At 39.7% G+C, this 21719-nt stretch overlaps 2 protein-coding genes across 28 annotated transcripts in view, besides 6 other annotated features; one reads left to right on the top strand and one right to left on the bottom strand.

Moving 5' to 3' along the window:
- Positions 1-7932, bottom strand: part of NEK1 (NIMA related kinase 1) — a 219775-nt gene extending 211843 nt beyond the window's left edge. For 17 of the 25 annotated variants that reach the window (NR_164631.1, NM_001440625.1, NM_001440624.1 and 14 more), the window contains exons 1-2: positions 7571-7932; positions 7369-7492 (exon numbers count right to left, since the gene is read on the bottom strand). The gene's annotated coding sequence lies outside the window, so the exon portion shown is untranslated. Of the gene's footprint in view, positions 1-7368 lie in introns of all 25 variants that reach the window. The other 8 variants (NR_164630.1, NM_001199400.3, XM_047415731.1 and 5 more) reach the window with 1 other exon arrangement.
- Positions 7405-7524: an enhancer, noted in NCBI's record as "active region_22138". NCBI's record gives its function as "activates an Ori minimal core promoter by ATAC-STARR-seq in GM12878 lymphoblastoid cells {active_cell/tissue: GM12878}" and the evidence as "EXISTENCE:reporter gene assay evidence [ECO:0000049][PMID:35858748]".
- Positions 7945-8004: an enhancer, noted in NCBI's record as "active region_22139". NCBI's record gives its function as "activates an Ori minimal core promoter by ATAC-STARR-seq in GM12878 lymphoblastoid cells {active_cell/tissue: GM12878}" and the evidence as "EXISTENCE:reporter gene assay evidence [ECO:0000049][PMID:35858748]".
- Positions 15105-15174: an enhancer, noted in NCBI's record as "active region_22140". NCBI's record gives its function as "activates an Ori minimal core promoter by ATAC-STARR-seq in GM12878 lymphoblastoid cells {active_cell/tissue: GM12878}" and the evidence as "EXISTENCE:reporter gene assay evidence [ECO:0000049][PMID:35858748]".
- Positions 15735-15784: an enhancer, noted in NCBI's record as "active region_22141". NCBI's record gives its function as "activates an Ori minimal core promoter by ATAC-STARR-seq in GM12878 lymphoblastoid cells {active_cell/tissue: GM12878}" and the evidence as "EXISTENCE:reporter gene assay evidence [ECO:0000049][PMID:35858748]".
- Positions 15855-16084: an enhancer, noted in NCBI's record as "active region_22142". NCBI's record gives its function as "activates an Ori minimal core promoter by ATAC-STARR-seq in GM12878 lymphoblastoid cells {active_cell/tissue: GM12878}" and the evidence as "EXISTENCE:reporter gene assay evidence [ECO:0000049][PMID:35858748]".
- CLCN3 (chloride voltage-gated channel 3) overlaps positions 15927-21719 on the top strand; it is a 103096-nt gene continuing 97303 nt past the window's right edge. For all 3 annotated transcript variants that reach the window (NM_173872.4, NM_001829.4, NM_001243372.2), the window contains exon 1: positions 15927-16412. The gene's annotated coding sequence lies outside the window, so the exon portion shown is untranslated. The remainder of the gene's footprint in view (positions 16413-21719) is intronic.
- Positions 16275-16384: an enhancer, noted in NCBI's record as "active region_22143". NCBI's record gives its function as "activates an Ori minimal core promoter by ATAC-STARR-seq in GM12878 lymphoblastoid cells {active_cell/tissue: GM12878}" and the evidence as "EXISTENCE:reporter gene assay evidence [ECO:0000049][PMID:35858748]".

Consider the following 21719-nt stretch of genomic DNA (forward strand, 5'->3'; position numbering starts at 1 on the left):
ACTTTATTTTGCCTCTAAAAATGATCCAATCTCCTTAAATGACAAACATCATATGCTGTGCCTACAAGACCAGACCACAGGCCAGAACTCAGCCTGTGGTAGCACTGATGAGATAAGTATGACTCATGAAATTTTGTGAGAAAGAGCCTTTCTCTACCTTAGAAAACAAGATTGCCTTTAGCAACTTTAAGAGAAACAAGAAATAAACCATTATTATAGCATTTTAGCATCAGTGAGTTAAAGAAGAAAAGTTGTTCCAAATATATTTTCAAGCCCAAGTTGTGTTAACTGGCACAATATAATGGCTATCTGGGCACCAGCCACAATTTAATGATTTTTCCAGAACATGAATGTTTAATATATTACATTACTATGCTACTTACAAAAAAAAATCAAGATAAACTCATCTTAGTAATCTAAATTTCAAAAATTAAATTAAATAATAGCCATATAATGAGATTACTTCACAATCATCATTATTCTGCGACTTTCTGCCAAGAGAGGGAAACAAAATTAGTCAATTTGGCCATTCCTTAAAATTAAGTTGCCAATTCCTTTCTAGGGACCACACTAATAAGACAGAAGCTCCAAAAGTCCCCAGTGTTGCATTCTACTGCCAACAACATTACTGAACATTGTGGTTCTAACTCTATAAAGCAGACCTACTGATCCTGTTAGTAAAGAAAGATGACTCTAATTGCCATCAAATATGTCAAATGCAGACACTTTTCTGAACAACAAAAGACTTGTGGTAGATGACTTTCAGGAAAACAGACAAACTCTCCTTTTTTGTAATGTCAGTGTACAATAAAGGAAGTAAAAGGGAAAACATGAAAAAATAGATTACTTTCAGCATCTTACAATATATTTAACTGAGCTACTTCCTAGTTGTGAGACTTCTCAACTGAATTATAATTCCATAAAATTTTTCATACCAAATGAAATAGAAAACAATAACAAATTGTACTATAGGCTTCCACATACAAAATCATAACTTATAACTGAAGGAACATACGAATCCTGTTTACTTCAGTATTGTAATAAACTCAAATTAATGTTTGCCTTTTCTACCATTCAGTTTCCAACATCAAATGAAAATCACAATACCAACTTTACTCACTCTATAGTGTTCTTAAGGTCTCTAATAATTATATCAATTCAATCTCTATAATACATAGCTGATCCTGAAGATAAGCAACAAGGAAAAAATCAGAGACTTTTTTGATATTTGAGCTTTCCAAAGAGTTATGTCACCTAATAAAGCAATGAATTCAGAATCAAGAGACAAGACTAGCTACATAATCAAACGCTAACCATCTGCCTTTTGTGGACTTCAGTTTCTTTATCTAGAAACACGAAAGATTTAAACCTAATGCCATTTTATAGACCTTGCCAAGTCGACTAGTCTATGACTCAAGGAGAAGAAAATTAAAAAGTCAGAAAATATATAATGTCAACACTGTTTAGAATTGTACTCTTAGCCACAAAGAGTAAGAGTGATGGGGAAAGCCATTCCATCAAAAAATTAAAAGAAGTCATACTAATTTCTTTAGCCTAATTATTTAAAAAGTAAAAATAAATAAACTGTAATCTACAGTTAAGCATACTAGATTGACCCGTACATATTTACCTCTACTACTTGTCCAAACCTGAGGAACATGACTTTAAAGGGATTACCAAAAAGGCAAAACAGAAGAGAAGGCAACAGCAATACAGTTCTAGAAGCTGGCAAACACAAAAGAACATGCAGCAACTGACTTAGGAGAATAGAGAAAAGCTGTACCTTAAGCCAGCAGTGGGAAATAAGTCAGAAACAAGTCAATTCCCACCACAAACTAGCTCAATAATTGGAAGTACTGGGGCATCTAAGAGTGAGGATAATATTAGGACTCAAACAGGATTGGTGAAGAGCTTGTGTAAGAAGTGTCAGACACTTAGTTTGCCTCCTCCACCTCTCCCAGTCAGATAAGTACTCCTCTCCCATCTTGAAAGAAGACCACAGATATCTCTAGATTGGGTACACCAGGCACAACTAAGAATGGAAATCCCATCTATGATCTAGGAGATTAAGTGAAAGTCTACATAATAAATCGTGAGACTCTCTTTCAACCATGATGGTGTTCTTAGTATCAGATCACCTCACCTTCCAAAACAACTTAAAACCTGAACAAAATATATAAAGAAACAGCAATGCATTGAGGGGCTATAATCACCGAAAGGTGGAAACATACTAGTGGGTTCTACATTCATCCCAGCCTTTTCCCTGAAGAGAGTTTCCAAACTGTGCTACAGTACAATGGAGCTCAAGTATAAAGCAGCAGTCTTGCTGAGGAGAGAAAGCGGTCAGAGTTCAGGGCTACCAAAATCCTGAAGAGGAAAAATAATAGAAGGAGTCCAAAAATCTACAGTAAGTTCTGCTCCTGTTATTCTGTTCCTAAACTGTGCATACATGGAGGAGGACTGAAACAGTCTCATCCTAACAAAGCCTAAAAGCAACCATGGATAAAATCAAAGTTATTCACTGATACTTCATCAGACTGCCAAAACAAAACTAACAATTTTTACAAGATACATGTTTCAGAGTCTCTAAGACTTTTCATTCACAATGTCTAGTATCCCATCAAAAAATAATGATGCACATTAAACAAAAACAGATATAGACTCACAAATGACTCAAACATGAAGTTACTAATAGAGGACTTGAAAGTAACCATGATTAATTAATATGTCTAAGAAAACAAGATAAAAAGATGGATAAAACAGATTTTTTAAAAGATGGAGAATTTCAACAAAGAATTAAAATTTTTTTTTAATTTTTAATTTTTTTTTGAGACAGAGTCTCGCACTGTTGCCCAGGCTGGAGTGCAGTGGCGCAGTCTTGGCTCACTGCAAGCTCCACCTCCCAGGTTCACGCCATTCTTCTGCCTCAGCCTCCCAAGTAGCTGGGACTACAGGCGCCTGCCACCACGCCCGGCTAATTTTTTTGTATATTTAGTAGAGATGGGGTTTCACCGTGTTAGCCAGGATGGTCTCGATCTCCTGACCTTGTGATCCGCCCGCCTCAGCCTCCCAAAGTGCTGGGATGACAGGTGTGAGCCACCGCGCCTGGCCTCAAAATTTATTTCTAAAAAGTGGACATTCTAAAACTACAATATAAAATATCTGAAATTAAGAACTCATTCATGGATTTACGGCAGACAGGACACAGCAGAAGGCAGGATTACTAGCCTATAAAATGAACCAATAGAAAATATTCAACAAAAAAACTGAGAGAAAAATATTAAAAAACAACAACACACACCGGGATGGGGGTGGGGGTGGAGAAAGAAATGTATAGGAAGACTTAATATCATAAAGATTTTCATTCCTAATCTCTACAGTTAATGCTGTCCTAATAAAAACATAAGCTTTGGGGCTGGGGGTGATTAGACAGGCTGATTTTAAAGTTCAGACACACACACACATACACACACACACACACACACACAAAGAAGAAGAAGAACAGCCAGAGAAATATTGAAAAAGAAGAGCAATGAAGGAAAATTTGTTTGGCTTAATATCAAAACACATTACAAAGCTACAATAATTATGAAATAGGCAAATCACAGGAAGTCCAGAAATCAAAAAACTTTTAAAACTTGGTTAATAATCATAGTGACATTTCAAATCAGTAGGAAAAAAGATGAATTTTGAAATAAAAAGTTCAAAGCCAGCAGTGAGACAACTGGGTAGCCATGTGGGGAAAAAAAGTTAATTTATTCCCTCATTTTACACCAACCTAAATTCTAGATGCTAAAATACTGAAATGTAAGAAATAAAAGCATAATAGTAATAAAATAAAACATGGGAGAATGACTTCTGTCTTAGAGTGGTTAGCTGAAGCACAACACAAAATCAAAAAACCTTGAGGGATTAATATGACTAGACCAATATTTTAGCTATTACAACGATCTCATTTTTCTAACAAATAAAAAACTCGTACATATTTATAAGACCAAAAAACACAACAATCCAAAAGAAAAGTGGACAAAGGATATGAAGTTAAACGTTAACACTGAGAATGAATACAAATTATGTTAAAATGTGCCACGATACCCAATCTCCTGTAAAACGATATACAATTTTGGCCGGGCATGGTGGCTCACACTTGTAATCCCAGCACTTTGGGAGGCCGAGGCAGGCGGATCACTTGAGGTCAGGAGTTTGATGTCAGGCTGACCAACATGGTAAGACCACTGTCTCTACTAAGAATACAAAAAATTAGCTGGGTGTGGTGGTGCAGGCCTGTAATCCCAGCTACTCGGGAGGCTGAGACAGGAGAATCGCTTGAACCTGGGAGGCAGAGGTTGCAGTGAGCTGAGATCACACCACTCCACTCCAGCCTGGGTGACAGAGCGAGACTCCTTCTCAAAAAAAAAAAAAAAAAAGAAGAAGAAATACAATTTTAAAATACAAGGGGTAAGTTTTATGTTATGTATATTTAACCACAATTTTTTTAAAAAAGCACAAGAGACGGCATGTTTCATCAATTAGAATGGCAAAATTCACAGTTGATTATTGTACTGTACTGTGGGGGAATAGCAGGAAACAATATGGTGGGACTATAAATTGGTACAAGCACTAAGGAAAATAATTTGGCAACATCTACCAAAATTATAAGGGGACAGAAACTTTGATGTAGTGATTCAATTTCTAGCAATTTACCCTACAAATATTTCCAAATGTAGGAAAACAAAGTATCTACAAAGTTATCCTCTGCAGCACTGTTTCTAATAGAGCAAAATGTAATCATTCACATACAGTCAACACAGCAACTTTTAAACTGATATAATTTCTTAATACACTGTTAGATTTTTAGGGATCAGAATAATAAATATGGCATGCTATCATTTGTTTAGTAAAAGGAAATACATAAGTATATATGCTTACAGTTACTCATATATGTGTATAAATATACATATGTATATATATACACACATGCACCCCTGGCTTGTATTAAATAATATCTATGGAGAGATACACAATAAACTAGTAATACTGCCTACAAAGAAGGCATTTAATAGTTGAAAAGATTTTTCAATCTTTTGTACTTTCTGAATTTTGAACCATACAAATGTATTATCTATTCAAAACAATAAATATTAAAACAATAATATCTGATAGAAATAGTAAGAATACTGGCTAAATCAATTTCTCCAATTAAAATCCTTCAACAATTCCCCATCTCCAAACTCCTCACTTTTGACATTCAAAGTTTTCTTATGGCATCATGCTTCTTTTCAAGTATATGAACTATGCTCCAGAAAAAAGTACCTCAGCCTCTAGTCAAATAAGACAGCTTTCCTCACATTTTACTAAGAATTTCTTTTTTTTTTTTTTTTTCTGAGACAGAGTCTTGCTCTGTTGCCTAGGCTGGAATGCAATGGTGCCATTTCGGCCTCCGAGGTTCAAGTGATTCCCCTGCCTCAGCCTCCCAAGTAGCTGGGATTACAGGAGTGTGACACCATACCCAGCTAATTTTTGTATTTTTAGTAGAGACGGGGTTTCGCCATACTGGCCAGGCTGGTCTCGAACTCCTGACCTCAAATGATCCACTTGCCTCGGCTTCCCAAAATGCTGGGAATACAGGTGTGAGCCACAGCGTCTGACCCAGAATTTCTTTCTTTTTTTCTTTTTTCTTTGAGACAAGCCTCACTCAGTCGCCCAGGCTACAGTGCAGTGGCAGTATCTCGGCTCACTGCAACCTCTGCCTCCCGGGTTCAAGCAATTATCCTGTGTTAGCCTTCCAAGTAGCTGGGATTACAGGCACGCACCACCACGCCCGTCTAATTTTTTGTATTTTTGGTAGATATGGGTTCGCCAGGTCAGCCAGGCTTGTCTCAACCTCCTGACCTCAAGTGATCCACCCACCGTGGCCTCCCAAACTGCTGGGATTACAGGTAAGAGCCACAGCACCCAGCCACTAAGAATTTCTTTAAAGCCACAAATAAGCAATTTTGGACATAATAAAATTTTGTGAGCCACATATAAACAATTTTAGAGTATATGAATGGAAAAGCTCAACTTCGATCAATCTGGAACACATACTTAGGTTAAGCATTAAGCTCTCATCAGGTGTTTCAGATATTCTATAGACAGGCTGTCTTGAAGGGAAACATGGTAAAGGCATGGCAACAGGTTTCAAGAAGTCTTTTGGCGCTGTATGCAGCTACAATCCATACATACAGTTCTGCCTAAGCAATAAATACCATCTTGAATAGTGGGAGGGGATCCATTTATCTTCTCAGGAAAAAAGTTCTTTATCTTCCTTTATTCGAAAAAGCAGAAAGCAAAAATGGAATTTCTATTAGACTTTTTTCAAAATATTTTTTCTTCTCTGTAAGTCTATTCAGACAATATTCAACAGATTTTGTAGTAGAAACTACCAACAGGTAAATAAAGAATGTACATTCGTGAAAAGGTGTCATGTTCATGACTTAGACTAGAAGGCAGGAGATTAGACAGGGCAAAATTTACTTGGAATACAATGTCAATGTACTATTCACACGACCTCAAAAGAACTTCTGTGGTCAAGTCCGACGACCTTTATTAAATTCCTGACAGTGACTTTTAACGTGAAAAAAACCTGTTTTCCCACAAAATAGGCTCCTTACATTTCACCTAGAACAATGGATATTTTAAGTGAAACAGATCTGTAGAACCTCTAAAACCAGACAAATGTAAACTAGAAACAAGGAGTTACTTCTCTCCAAATTTGGCTCCCCTCCATCAGCTCTACAATACTGCTGCATCATAAAAAAAGGTCATTAACTTAGATTGGATGCCACTTTTAATCCTTCATAAACATTTCTAATGAAACATACCAAGGCAATAAAAAATATTTCTGCTTCCTAAAGCAGATCTTAAAGAACAAAAAATAGGCCTGCAAAAAAAGTTATGATAAACTCTTAAAGTAGTACAACAATTAATGCCTTACATATGGAAACTGTGTCAAATCATGGAAACAGAAATCTAAGATTACAGGGTAACCAGCTAACTACTACTCATATTCGCTTCCTAATTAAAATTTATCAGTAATTTAAGATTGGACACAACATAAGCAATGCAAATGCTTGCTTATCCATACTAAGATTCCTATTATTTTAATCCCATTACCGCTCTAGTTTTTAAAAATACCGTAATGTCCAAGAATCGCTTTGTTAATACAGAGTGTCTTAGAGAATTAACATTTAAATGAGATTAAGGTATTTTCCCTGCAAACACTTAAGGTATCTGTGTAATCTCAATATAAGCAGTTCTACGCACATCTCATTTCCAGGATGATTTTTACCATTTTGCATGTCATTCCTTCCCCCAAGTGGAACTCACCTCAGTGACACAGGACGTTAGTAGGAATAACGGTGATGACTAATAAGCATCAGTCTAGGTGTGGCAGTCTTCCTACGGGGCTTAATAAAGCAGAGGTACCATCCCGCATTTTGAAAATGACATCCTGAAAGAGAAACCAAGACTGTCTAACCAGCAGCAGCTCACAGTCCAGACTGAAAGGGGGCACTGAGACTCTCCACACCTGACACTCGTCTTCAGTTGATACCACGGGTTTGACTCCGTCCTGTCTCGGGCGACGCCCGTAAGACAGGTCGACACTACCCCGACGAAACAAACAAACTGGTTTCTGAGCCCCGTAGAAACGGCGGGGTGCAGCAGGGGGAGTGCCTCCGTTACCGCCTCTCCAACTTCACAGAGGTCGTTGCTAGTGGCCACGGCGGGGTGGGGACGGGCGGCGTTCGGGACTGGGAAGCTACTTGACTGCCACGTGCTCCTGCCTCGCAACAGCGGCTCTAGATTCCGAGTTATGGGGACAACTGCTCGAGAGGCCAGGGTAGGGTAAGGACTCCGCAACCTAGGGTCCCAAAACCCTGGAGCGAATGCGGACTAAGGGAGAGCGGCCGGCGCGTCACCGGCGCTGGCGTGTGACGTCAGCGCGTGGAAGGCGGCACGCAGCGGAGGCGGCTGGGAAGGAGCAGTGAGGCTGGGCTAGAACCGTAGGGTCGGGCGGGGTGCTGTGCGAAGGGGCGGGCGGGGTGCTGTGCGAAGGGACGGGAGGGGCGGGCTCTGCAGGCGGGAAGACAGAAAGGACGAGACGGGAGAGATGAAAAGGATGGAGAGAGTGTAAAGCTGTTAAGAGTCATGCAGAGATGCGGGAGAGAACTCACTAGTTGAAACCAATTTGGAATATAAAGCATATAAAATTTTCCCACAGCTACTACACCGAGAAAGGGACTTTTTTATTTTACATGAAAGCGCACTACTTAGGGATGCCACATTTTAAAGAGCAATTTTGCTTTAAAAAGCAAGTCTTTTCCTATTATATCTTGGATGGTTGAAACAGAAGAATGTTTAAGTCTTGAGATATTTTTAAAAAGCTGTATGGGGTTTTCTACACCTTTACATCTAATGTATGTATAAATTACTTGTCTGTATGTTGAAGGGTTTGGAAATGTACAGCAGTCTAAGTACATTTTTTCACTGCAGGACTGGCGAAGGTAGGAAGAGATTCCCCTAAAACTATAATAAGGGATATCATCTGGCGTCATCCTGAGTGGCCCTACTCAGGGCAACTTTATTCCTAGGGACATTGAAAGATTTTGGCGGCTTTGCCAGACGATGGCGCTGCAAGTCACCCAACCTGAAAAGCTGGAGAGTTTGTTTTATCTCCTCTTCAATCGCCATACAGCTACAAAAGACTTATTTTCCTCATTCTTTCTACTTCTAGTCTACACTCCTGTGGGCCCTCCTACCCCCAGTTAGTAGGAATTATCATGTCTGAATGCACAATTGTAGTTCTACCCACATCCTTTTGTACATCAAAGTGAAGTGAAATGTTGCCAATTACTAATCTAAGCAAATTCTTTTTGCTGCTTACAGGAAGAATGGCTAGTCAGCTAACCTCCTTAGATAATTCTTTAGGCTCATGTCATAAACTATTGGTAGGACTACAAACTGCTACAGTCTTTCTAGAAGGTATGCTAGCAGTATGCATATCCTTTGACTCAGCAATTTAACTTCTGGAACAAGTGAGCAATGATTTATATACAAGGATAACCGTTATTGTTTATAACCAGAAAAACTAGAAATACTGTAAATGTATAACAATAAAGAATTGATTAAATTATAATATATCCAAACAATGAAATACTCTAAAGCCATTTAAAAGAGTAATCAAGATCTACTTTATTGACATACAAAGATACCATTGATATATTGATGAGTAAATAAAGCAGGTTACCTAAGAAGATTACCTGATTTCCCTTTCTGGTTTATATACCCCTGTACAATTGATTTTTTTTTTTATTTTTAAACAAGAGTGCTTTGGGGTTTCTTTTTCTTTAAATATTTTATTGGACTTTTCTTTCAAACAAAAAAGTTTTTGCTTCTTGCAACAAGCCAGTAACACAAGTACACAAAGATAAAGCCTATCGTCTCCTTCCCAGAGCTCTTCTGTGCTGTCCTCCACGAAACCAATGTTAACAGTTAATTAATATCATCTACATTTTTCTCTAAGTTCCTAAAAACATAAGCATGCATTTTTATATTTTATATATTAGTCTTAGTCTTTTATTTACTTATTTATTTTGGAGACAGGGTCTCATTCTGTTTCCCAAGCTGGAGTGCAGTGGCGCGATCTTAGCTCCCTGCAACCTCCGCCTTCCAGGCTCAAGTGATTCTCCCACTTCAGCCTCCCGAGCAGCTGGGACCATGGGTGCGTGCCATCACACCTGGCTAATTTCGGTATTTTTTTTGTAGAGATAGGGTTTTTGCCATGTTGCCCAGGCTTCTTGTGTGTGTGTTTTGTAGAGATGGGTTCTACCATGTTGCTCAGGCTGGTTTTGAACTCCTGAGCTCAAGTAATTCTGCCTGCTTTGGCCTCCCAAAGTGCTGGGATTACAGGCGTGAGCCACTGTGCCTAGCCGGGACTATAGTATACATATTATTTTGCAACGTACATTTTTAAATTTAATAGTATATGAACATCTATGCGGATATCAACTAATTCTTGTGAATGATATTGATATTTCATGATATGGCTATACCAAAATCTACTCCATTCAGTAGACATATTGTTTCCAATGGTATAATTACTTCTGTGGGATAGATTTCGAAAAGTAGGTTTGCTGGGTCAAAATGTATGCATATTTTTTCACTTTAACACTCCTATGTCTTGGTTATGAAAATTTCTTAACTCCTTATTAATAGTGGTAGTACAATATAGTAAATGGAAGGGGACTAGCAGTATACCTAAGCTATTCTACTAGATTTTTCAGAAATATATTCTGCCATGCATTCACAATTAAGCACTATATGTTAGATGATGGGGACAAACATATTCAAAGAATGGATATTGTTATTCCTTCTTTCTAGAAAGCAGGCAGCAAGGTGAAACAAAATAGAGAATAACAAATTAGAGCAAATGGTTGGTATAGAACTACACTATTTTCCCTTTGTGAAATTATTATGTAAATGATTTTATTAAGACTATGTATTTATGAAGGCATAAGTTCTGATTATACTCACCTAAAATCTTTTTTTTTAAATTATACTTTAAGTTTTAGGGTACTTGTGTACAACATGCAGGTTACATATGTATACATGTGCCATGTTGGTGTGCTGCACCCATTAACTCGTCATTTAACATGTTAATGCTAACCCTCCCCCCTCCTCCCACCCCAGAACAGGCCCCGGTGTGTGATGTTCCCCTTCCTGTGTCCTTGTGTTCTCATTGTTCAATTCCCACCTATGAGTGAGAATATGCATACTTACCTACAATCTTTTGTGATTAGAGAAGGGCCTAAAATACTAAATATGAAGAAAAGCATTCTCTAAAATCCAGATCTTTTACAGACATGTAATATTCAAATCCAAGGGAGAAAAAAAAGTCAATGTCTTGGCATTTAGTACTCCATCTTGCTACATTCTAGGCGAGAAATTTTTAGTTATTTAAGCCACGTTCCTGAAAGTCTACTCTAGCCTTATGTGGTTTGAACTCACTGTTAACTCTGCATAGCTACGAGTTAAACTGTAGCAGCCTACTGAATTTCTGGATCTTAATCTGGTAGGCCCAGCTCCATATGCAAAGATAAAACATCTAGTCAGCTTTTGAGTTTCTGGCTTTCTGAATTGGGTCACCTGCCAGGGCTCACAGATGAGTCCACCACCTGAAAAGAATGATCATAATCTGTATCTAGGATGAATAAAACAAAACACTGTGCCCTTAGTTGTGTGCAGCCTGAGAAATGAGTCACTTCATGAGACTGTTTTCAGGATATGATTGGCTGAAAGAGCTTTGAGTGTATCAAGTCCTACTGAGGCAGTTTTGTGGGAAACAATCACACTAAACTGGAAGACTGTTTGCCATGTCAAAGGTCTCGAATTGTAATTAGAAGTGCAAAGCTATTTCGGATAACTTCTTGTTATTTTTGGGGAAAAGACAAAAGACAAGAAAAGGTCATTTTCACTTCTATGATGTTAGTGGAATCAGGAGGAAATTCTAGACTAGAACCATGCTACTATTTTCATAATAGAATGTTTTAATCCCTTCTATTCTCTCTCTTTCCAATGTGTCTGAAACATAAACAATAAGATCAAAGTTCTTTTTCTTTTCTTTTTATTTTTGAGACAGAGTTTCACTCTTGTCACTTAGGTTGGAGTGCAGTGGCGTGCTCTCGGCTCACTGCAACCTCCACTTCCCAGGTTCAAGCGATTCTCCTGCCTCAGCCTCCTGAGTAGCTGGAAGTACAAGCATGCACCACCACACTGGGCTAATTTTTTTTTTTTTTTTTTTTTTTTTGGAGACAGAGTCTCACTCTGTCACCAGGCTGGAGTACAGTAGAGTGATCTTGGCTCACTGCAACCTCCACCTCCCGGGTTCAAGCAATTCTCCTGCCTCAGCCTCCCGAGTAGCTGGGATTACAGGCACGTACCACCGTGCCCAGCTAATTTTTGTATTTTTAGTAGAGACGGGGTTTCGCCATGTTCGGCAGGCTGGTCTTGAACTCCTGATCTCAGGTGATCTACCCATCTCAGGCTCCCAAAGTGCTGGGATTACAGGCATGAGCCACCGCTCCTGGCAAGATCAAAGTTCTTTTTCTGAAACAACTCATAAATACATGAAGTAGAGCTATACAATCTTGTTTGGTTTTTCTGTGCAACTTTTTTTAAGTGTATTCTTTTAAGTTGTTATGGTAAGTAATCCTATTTCTAGGTTTTTTTATTTCAAGGGAAGTTCAGAGTAACTTTACTGGTCCAGGGAGCAAGATAGAAGAAACTGAGATATGATTCCCAGTGCTCTTTACTTTGCCACTTCTATAAAATAGCATCATCCAACTTGCCACTCCCAGAGAGAGAATTGCTGACAGAGGGCAAGGTTTATACCACCTCCACTCACTGGTAATGTCTATCATTTGTTTCTCTTGTTTCAATCTGCCAGGGTTCCAGATATACTAGTGAACAGGCTATCCTACACCTGGTTGTAATTGGTAAACTCTTACACTGTGAGTCAATCTTTTTGTCCTTTTTCCCTTTCCTTGAGGCCCCAAGAGTTTTGTTGGTTGGTTGGTGGCAGAAGTGTGAAGCTAATTTAAATATTGGTTGAGTATTCGTTATTAACTTAAACTCCAACCAGTCCTAGCCCAAAAATCTGATTTACAGTGGAAGAAACTGACCCTTTTCACATAACTTATTTTGCTGTGTCTCCAAATACTTCCTGTATACTGGGGGCCTTTTAAAAAATGCATACTGAGACTTGTGGTTAAAAGATGAATTTAAGCACCCTATGGTAGGCAAGATAACACCCCCTGCCCCACCGCCCCAATCCCTGGAACCAGTGAATATATCAGATTACATGGCAAGGGGGACTTATATATGATATGAGAAACATTCAGCCTTCCATTGCTGGCTTTGAAGATGGAGGAAGTGGACAATGAGCCAAGGAAGTCAAGTGACCTCTAGAAGCTGCAAAAGGCATGGAAGTGGATTCTCCCCTAGAGCCTGTAAAAGAAAACAGCCCTGCCAACACCTTGATTTTTTTTTTTTTTTTTTTTTTTTGAGACAGAGTTTTGCTCTTGTTGCCCAGGCTGGAGTGCAATGGTGCAATCTTGGCTCACCACAACCTCCACCTCCCGGGTTCAAGTGATTCTCCCGCCTCAGTCTCCCAAGTGGCTGGGATTACAGGCATGTGCCAACAAACTTGGCTAATCTTGTATTTTTAGTAGAGATGGGGTTTCTCCATGTTGGTGAGGCTGGTCTTGAACTCCCAACCTCAGGTGATCCGTCCATCTTGGCCTCCCAAAGTGCTGGGATTACAGGCGTGAGCCACCACATGTGGCACCAAGAGGTTGCCCAGCCAACATCTTGATTTTTAACCAGTGAGCCCTATGTCAGACTTTTACCCTACAGAACTCTAAGATCAAAAATTTGTACTGTTTCAAGCCACTAAATTTGTGGGAATTTGTTACAACAGCACTTGGATACTAATACAAACTCTTCTTAGGGTTCTGGGAGCAGTTATTTACGGTACAGAGATCAGGTGGGCTGTTAAATTATTTTCATATGGGAGAAAAGCCCACAGTTGGATCTGTAAACCTCCTTACTGGGAATTATCTCAGCCCTAAGAAGTTCCTTCTTAATCACTCCCACTAAAATAAGGGATGTGGTAAGAATGCCAATCAATCAGCATCCTTTCTGTAGTATTTACCACGATGGAATGAGATCAGGCTGAAAGTATTCACATTAGGGCACTTAAAATGTACCAAAGATCTGGCTATGGTGCTTACCCTGTGTTTCCTCCCACCAGTCTGTTGAACAGGAAGTTCAACATCACCAGATTCTCTGACAAAAACACCAGAGGAATTACAGAGAACGTTTTTTCCCAGATGCGATCTATTGTTTTATCACCAAGCAATCACATACCACATTGTTTAAATATATTGCCCCATATGTAACACAGTGTTTCTGACTGAGCACCTTGGATCAACTGGGAAGAGTTAAACACAGGAATGCTTAGGTCCAACATTGAAACAATTAAGACAGGATTTCTGGGAGTGGGACCTAAGCAAGGATATTTTTCTGAAGCTCCCTAGATGGCTCTGATGCAAAGTGAAGATTGAGAACTACTGGTGCGATGATTATGTATGCCAGAGACCATGACTTTAAGTTCTTATAAAGGAATAAGGTAGTACATAATAGGGATAATATTACAAAAAACCAAACGTACAAATAGACTTGTTCTTGCACACTTAAGAGAGATCCTTGGAACAATCCTCCATTAAGAAACTACGACACTACCATGAAATAATTTTTCATCCTTATAGAAAGCAGGTAAGATTGACTAATAGACCACAACTACTGTCTACATTCTCAAAATCCATGTGCCTTTCCAAAATTAGCTACGTAACTACAGTGAGAGAGAAAAAAAAATGTGAGTAAATGTCTTGTGAAAAATTCCACTTGGTTTGGAAAAATTTTTGCCTGCTTTTCCACATTTTCTAAGAAGAATCTAAAGATCTTGGCCAACAGTGTCCCAGGTAAGAGAAAATCGTGCTTGGGTATTTCCATAGTTCTACAAACTCTACCTGGATAAAAGTAATGAAAGAGGTCCTAAGAAGCTTGACCGCACTGTGATCACCACCATGGGCACTATACCAGCTCTGAAGCCCAGAACTGTCTTTGAGAATATTCAATGCTGCCCTAGAAGAAATAGGAGAACAAAACTCACGTGTTCCTAGCCTGCAAAACAGTCGGTGGAGCACGTATATGTAAAAATAGAAAAGGCTGGCAAGACCAGGTCATATTTAATATTCATGAGGCACAAGATATACAACACGCACTTAATATTCATTAATCAGTATATATTCATAATATACTAAATATACAGGAGATATTAAACGTTCACGGGTCTTAATTCTGCCACCCAGTGGAGACACTCAAAAGTGATCTCGCCAAAGAAATGCAAAACCTGTACCTGCCCACCAGGCTATTAGCATGCTACTGCTGTGGCCACCATTCTTTCACTGCATCGCCCTGCCCTGCATCGGAATATAGCACCTTGAACACGGGATCAGGTTTACTGAATTCTGTGACCCACGCTGGGAGCTCAATAAATGTTTGCTAAACGGAAATGAACCCAATTCAGACCGTGTAGAAACCCCAGATTATATCTTTTCTCCAAACATTCAATTTCCAAGCAGTATTTTTGAAAATGCGTGATGGCTAAATTCGAGTTATCCTTTTTGTATGTATGTTAGGCACACAACCGGCGATGACATACAAGGCGAGGTGACACCACTGCACTCCCAGCCCGCACGTCACCTATAAGCACAGGGGGCTTTTGGTGCTGGTTTATTTTTGAAGGCTGGTACTTCTCTTCGATCTAAGTTTTAGGAACCTGTGCTCGTCGACGGCTGCCAATACTTTTTATTTTCAAGGCTGACGCTCGCCAGAGTTTCACAAGCTGCTCCCGGACGCTGTGGTCTCTCGCTAGAGTGGATCCGAACTCTGCGTGACGCTGGGAACGGCCAGCGTCTGTTGCCTCACGAAAACATCTCCCACAAGGTGGCCGCCTCGCGCGAGGTCAGCAGCAGGGCAAACAGGGATGCGTGAGTGACTGACGTGAGCTAATCGCTAATGACAGGCTTCACAGCCCCGGCGGCCCTCAGAGCCAGGCACCTCGCACCCCTCCTCCTCCTCGAGACCCAGTCCCGGCCCGCCCACCGTTCCCACGCCGCCCAATAGGCGCCGACGCTACTCAGCGAGTGGCCGGAGGAGGAGGTGTTGGGACGGCCGGACGCTGAACGGCCGTTCACGTCAACGTAGTGACGTCACGCGTCGACGCTGGGGCGTACCTTTCGGGCTCCTGACTCCTGCCGCTTCTCTTCCCCTTCCGTGGGTCAGGGCCGGTCCGGTCCGGAACCTGCAGCCCCTTTCCCAGTGTTCTAGTTCGCCCGTGACCCGGAATAATGAGCAAGGAGGGTGTGGTGGGTTGAAAGCCATCCTACTTTACTCCCGAGTTAGAGCATGGATTCAGTTTTAGTCTTAAGGGGGAAGTGAGATTGGAGATTTTTATTTTTAATTTTGGGCAGAAGCAGGTTGACTCTAGGGATCTCCAGAGCGAGAGGATTTAACTTCATGTTGCTCCCGTGTTTGAAGGAGGACAATAAAAGTCCCACCGGGCAAAATTTTCGTAACCTCTGCGGTAGAAAACGTCAGGTATCTTTTAAATCGCGATAGTTTTCGCTGTGTCAGGCTTTCTTCGGTGGAGCTCCGAGGGTAGCTAGGTTCTAGGTTTGAAACAGATGCAGAATCCAAAGGCAGCGCAAAAAACAGCCACCGATTTTGCTATGTCTCTGAGCTGCGAGGTGAGTTGCATTGTATGAGCGAAGAGTTGTCAGCTCTCCTGTTCACAGATTTTGGGTCAACTGTGAGGCCACAGCGCTCATCTTGGTTTCTCTTACAATGTACCTACATAATGTTGAAAGGTACATCGTGAATTGGGATGCTAACCCATCCTGATTAGGTATATACCCTCAGACATTCTTTAAAATTTCACACATCTGCTTCAGGAACCGTCGAAGGACCTCTGAATAAAATGGAAGTGGGTTCCAGGAGAAGATTAACTTTAAACTTAGAGGAGTGGGTTTTACTTTCGCTAAATTTTCCCCAATTTAAAAATAATATTCAGTTTTTCTATCTTTAGATATATATGTATGTAAAATATTTTTTGTGTATATATATTTGTGGTTTGATCTTAAACTTGACCAGAAACTGCCTTAGAATCTCAGAAATTGACTTTGCATGTGGTATGCTTTGTTTGTATGGCATTTTAAAACTGCGGAGCATATAGAAGATAATTACATATGCATTGTGCATATTAGAAACTGAGATTTCTGTTTCCTTTAGAAAGAAATTCCTGTTCATGGAATTGAATCAACAGCGACCATACCTTTTACACAGATATATAATTCAAAAGTTCAGTTCTACAAACGTAAACTTTTGGAGCTATGCAGTTCAGTTACTGCAGCATCATTGTGGCTTGTATAATTGTTGAATCTTTCCAGAAATGCTTTTACTTTCATCTTTAAAGAGTTAATTTAGAAGATTTTTTTTTATGAGGTCGGTATGGAAATAACTGCGTCCCTTTGTGAGTCACTACAAAATAATATTTGTTCAGTTCAGGAGTACATATGGGAGTTAAAGTGCTTGTGTATAAATTGTTGACTTTCATCTTAAAAGGTGCTGCTGCTATTCAGTGTCTTGTTCTATAATATGGCTTTAAAAACCATGTGTGTGACCTACAGATATTTTCTCAACTTGAATATGCGTATATGGCCTCTGGTTAATACAGACAGCCACTGTTGGCAGAATTCATCACAGATTGCATACCCTTCCCACCCCTTACTCCCCTCAGCACCTCGAAAACTTTGCTGCTTTACTTGAATGATGAGTCACATTATTTTAAGAAGTCAATATGAATGTATAGTACCTACATTTTTACTTGGAAATTGTACTTCAGTATGTGTTATCAGTCATACATAGCTCATTAAGAATGTAAATATTTAAACTACTTTTGGATAGATGTGGTTCAGGGGAACAGATTTGTTGATGTTGTGGGTTTGTGTTAGTAAATTGGCTATTTTCCAGGTCATGTTAGTGGTAGGCTTTCCATTTCCTGTTGTGACATGTTGGTCATAATTTTCAGACGGCTCAGGAAGCCAGATTTGATCTCTGTGGTGGGTCTTATATCAAAGCAGTATCCTGTGGGGTTTGGCCACTATCGCTGTTTTGTAGAACTTCCAACTTAGTTTGGTAGTCAAACTTGTCAGCAGTGATCTAAAATGTATAATATTTTATAATAAGTGTTAATATTTGTTGAATGCATTCTGTGTTTTCAGGCTCTTTTCCAAGTAATTTTTGTGAATTATCTCAATTTTCACACTAACCCCACGAAGTAGGTACTTTCACTAATCCCGTTTTACATTCGTAGAAACTGAGGCACAGAAAATTTAACTAACTTGCCCTACAGTAACTGTCAGAACTGAGACTGAAGCCTGGGAGTATGATTTCAGAGTTCCTGCTCTCTGCTGCACCATAGTGTAGTTTAGAATAGTCAAAATGCTAGAGAAAAACAAGGAGGGACGTGGCTTGTAGGTTCAATTATAAAAGCAATGTAAAATTACAGAGAGTCTGGGAAACAGTGTTTTTAAAAGGAATACTCATAATCTTACTACTCTAATAAACATTTTAATTTTTTAAATATGCACATTCACATCTGTACATAAACATTGTAGCTGTGATTCATTTTGGTTCTTAAAGATAAATCTTCAGTGAAGTTTAATATGGAGATTGAACCCCACTGCCTCACTTTCATTGTTGAAATCCAGAGAGATTTGATCTGCAACTTTGACTGGAACCAAGTTAAATAAATATATTTCTTGCTATTTCTTGTGAGAAATAATCGAACAGTTTCTGTCTTTTAAAATCATGAAGACTATTTAGTTTTCAAAGTTTCTGTCTTCCACAGCAACTTTTTATTGGTTTATTGTTTTATCTTTCTTCCTTGTTATAATCTGAGTGTTATATTTGTATGTGTGTTTATTCCGTTGTCCTCTTGAAAGCCTCTAGCATTTATACCCGCTGCCCCTGAGGAATTTGGGTTTTTTTGTCTGTTTTTATTTATTTTTAATTGACAGATAATCATTGTGTATATTTATGGGGTTCAATGTGATGTTTTGATAAATGTATATTTTGTAGAAAGGTTAAATCAAGCAAATTAACACGTCCATCATATCACCTACTTGCCATTTGTTTGTGGTGAGAACGTTTAAAATTAACTTTTAGCAATTTTGAGGTATATAGTACATTATTATTAATTATAGTCACCGTGGCATGCAATAGATCTCTAAAACTTACTCCTCTAACTGAAACTTGGTATTCTTTGACTAACCTCTCTCCTTTCCTTTTTCCCCCTTCTCCCTAGCCTTTGTAGACCACCATTCTGCTCTCTGCCTCCCTGAGTTTGACTTTTTTTTTTAGATTTTACACATATGTGAGATCATGCAGTATTTGTTTTTTTGTGTCTTATTTATTTCACTTAGCATTATGTCCTCCGGGTTAATCTACGTTTTTGAAAATGACATAATTTTCTTCCTTTTAAAGGCTGTATGGTATTCCATTCTGTATATATATTACATTTTCTTTATCCATTCATCATAGATCCTTTTAGATATCTCTAATATCGACCTTAAATGCAGAAGATGAATCACTGTATTGGAAGAAAGAAAAGTAATCCTATAAAATCAGTTTAAAATTAGGTCAGTATAGCAAGGATTAGATATGTTGATTTTACTTTGGGTACTCTGAGAACTTGATTTAAACTGAACCTTGCCCAGTGCTAATGTAATCAGTAGACCACACTAATTCCTATGGTATAGTAGTGACTTTTTTTTTGAGATAGACTCTTGTTCTGTTACCCCAGCTGGAGTGTAGTGGTGCAATCTCTGCTCACTGCAACCTCTGCCTCCTGGGTTCAAGCGATTCTCATGCCTCAGCCTCTGGAGTAGCTGGGATTACAGGCACGCGCCACCACTCCTGGCTAATTTTTGTCTTTTTAGCAGAGACAAGGTTTTACCATGTTGGCCAGGCTGGTCTTGAACTCCTGACCTGAGGTGATCGACCCGCCTCGGCCACCCAAAGTGCTGGGATTACAGGCATGAGCCACCGTGCCGAGCCAATTTTTGTATTTTTAGTAGGGACAGGGTTTCACCCTGTTGGCCAGACTGGTCTCAAACTCCTGACCTCATGTGATCTGCCCACCTCGGCATCCCAAAGTGTTGGGATTACAGGCATGAGCCACTGCACTGGGCTGGAATACATACTAATTTTTAGAAAGCTATTACAGCATCCCTCTTGAGGAAAATGTATAATGTAATTTATGCTGAAGTCTACTGAAAGCTGTAGGGCCTATACAAATATAATGGCATTAATACAATAAAAACTGTGTTCATATTTATTATAATTTCTGGTACATTGTTAGCTATTCTATAAATGTTAGTAAATGAATAAGTTATGTTGAAATTCCTTTTCACATTTTTTTTTCTTTTGTTTGAGGCTCAGTCTTGCTCTTGTTGCCCAGGCTGGAGTGCAGTGGCGCGATCTCAGCTATCCTCAGTCTCTGCCTCCTGGGTTCAAGCTATTCTTCTGCCTCAGCCTCCTGAGTAGCTGGGATTACAGGTGCCCGCCACCATGCCCGGCTAATTTTTGTGCTTTTATTAGAGACGGGGTTTCCCCATGTTGGCCAGGCTGGTCTTGAACTCCTGACCCAGGTGATCTGCCCACTTCGGCCTCCCAAAGTGCTGGAATTACAGGTGTGAGCCACTGCACCTGGCCTCTTTTCACGTTTCAATCTGTGACTAGTACTTAGCACAGTTTTTACAATATTTATATGAAAATGCTCCTTACATACAAATGGCTAGCTCAGATTTTCACCTCTCTGCCATCGTTGCTCTTGAGACTTTTGTTCCATCTCTCTAGTTGCTGACATTGACAATCTTTTTCTTCTTTCACCCAGTTTATATCCACTTTTCTTTTTAGCTTAACAGAGAGTTGACTGACACACCTTTGGGAATTAGATGTGGTCCTCAGCTGTACCCAGTCAGTCTCCTTTATGGGAGAGACAAAACTTTGTTGGGAACCATGAAAAATTAGTGTGCATATCTCAGGCTGTGGATCCTTTCGCCACCCATTTCCATGGTTTTCCTATTTTTGCTCCCCTCCCCAAATTCTGGTGGCATATTGCTTAGTGTTTGCAGTTTTGGGGCTCAGGTCAGTGTAATGGAGGTAACCTTCTTTATAGTCTGACCTGGAATAGAAACTAAAGCCTCGACATATAATCCTAAAGTTGGAAAGAACACGCTGGTCTTGAGTTCTGTGAGTTGCAGGAGACTGAAATTTGTTTCTGCCAACTGTTTTCAGTTAATCAAGTTGGAACCTTAGTGGATATCTTAGATTCTTCTTTACCATTCCCTATATCTTATTAATTACCAGGTCCTCTTAAATATTTCTTCAAACTCTCTCTGCTTCTCAATATTGATGTGTCTTAGTGAGCAGGGTAAAATCACAGCCAAAGTATTTTTTAATTCTCTCACTCAACACAACAATAATTAACACAGAAGACTTCTGTGACCAGATGCTTGGGGGTTTCTCCCCCCACAGCAACCAACCAGTTAGTTCTGCAGCAGATACCAACTGGGTGCCCCCCGGTTCCAATACGGTGTACCTGGAGGTAGTGTCAGACACCACTGGTTGAGGGCAGTTCCCAAAAGACTTCCCCCACTTCCAGTGCTAATCGCAAGCCCCAGGTTATTTTGATTTTGCCTGTGCTTCTGATAACACTGGCTATAAATCAGGGATCCCATGACCCCCCCACTCCTTACGTCCTTGGGTTCAATTAATGTGCTAGAGCAGCTCACAGAACTCAGAGAAACACTTACCGGTTTATTATAAAGGATGTTCAAAGGATACAGATGAACAGATGCATAGGGGGAGATAGGGGAAAGAGCATGGAGCTTCCATGCCTTCCCATGGTGCGCCACCTTCCAGGAGCCTCCAATGTTCAGCTATCCAGAAGCTCTCTGAATCCACTCCTTTTGGGTTTTTATGGAGGCTTC

This window comes from Homo sapiens, chromosome 4 (genome assembly GCF_000001405.40).
Source record: "Homo sapiens chromosome 4, GRCh38.p14 Primary Assembly".
NCBI classification, from domain to species: Eukaryota; Metazoa; Chordata; class Mammalia; order Primates; family Hominidae; genus Homo; species Homo sapiens.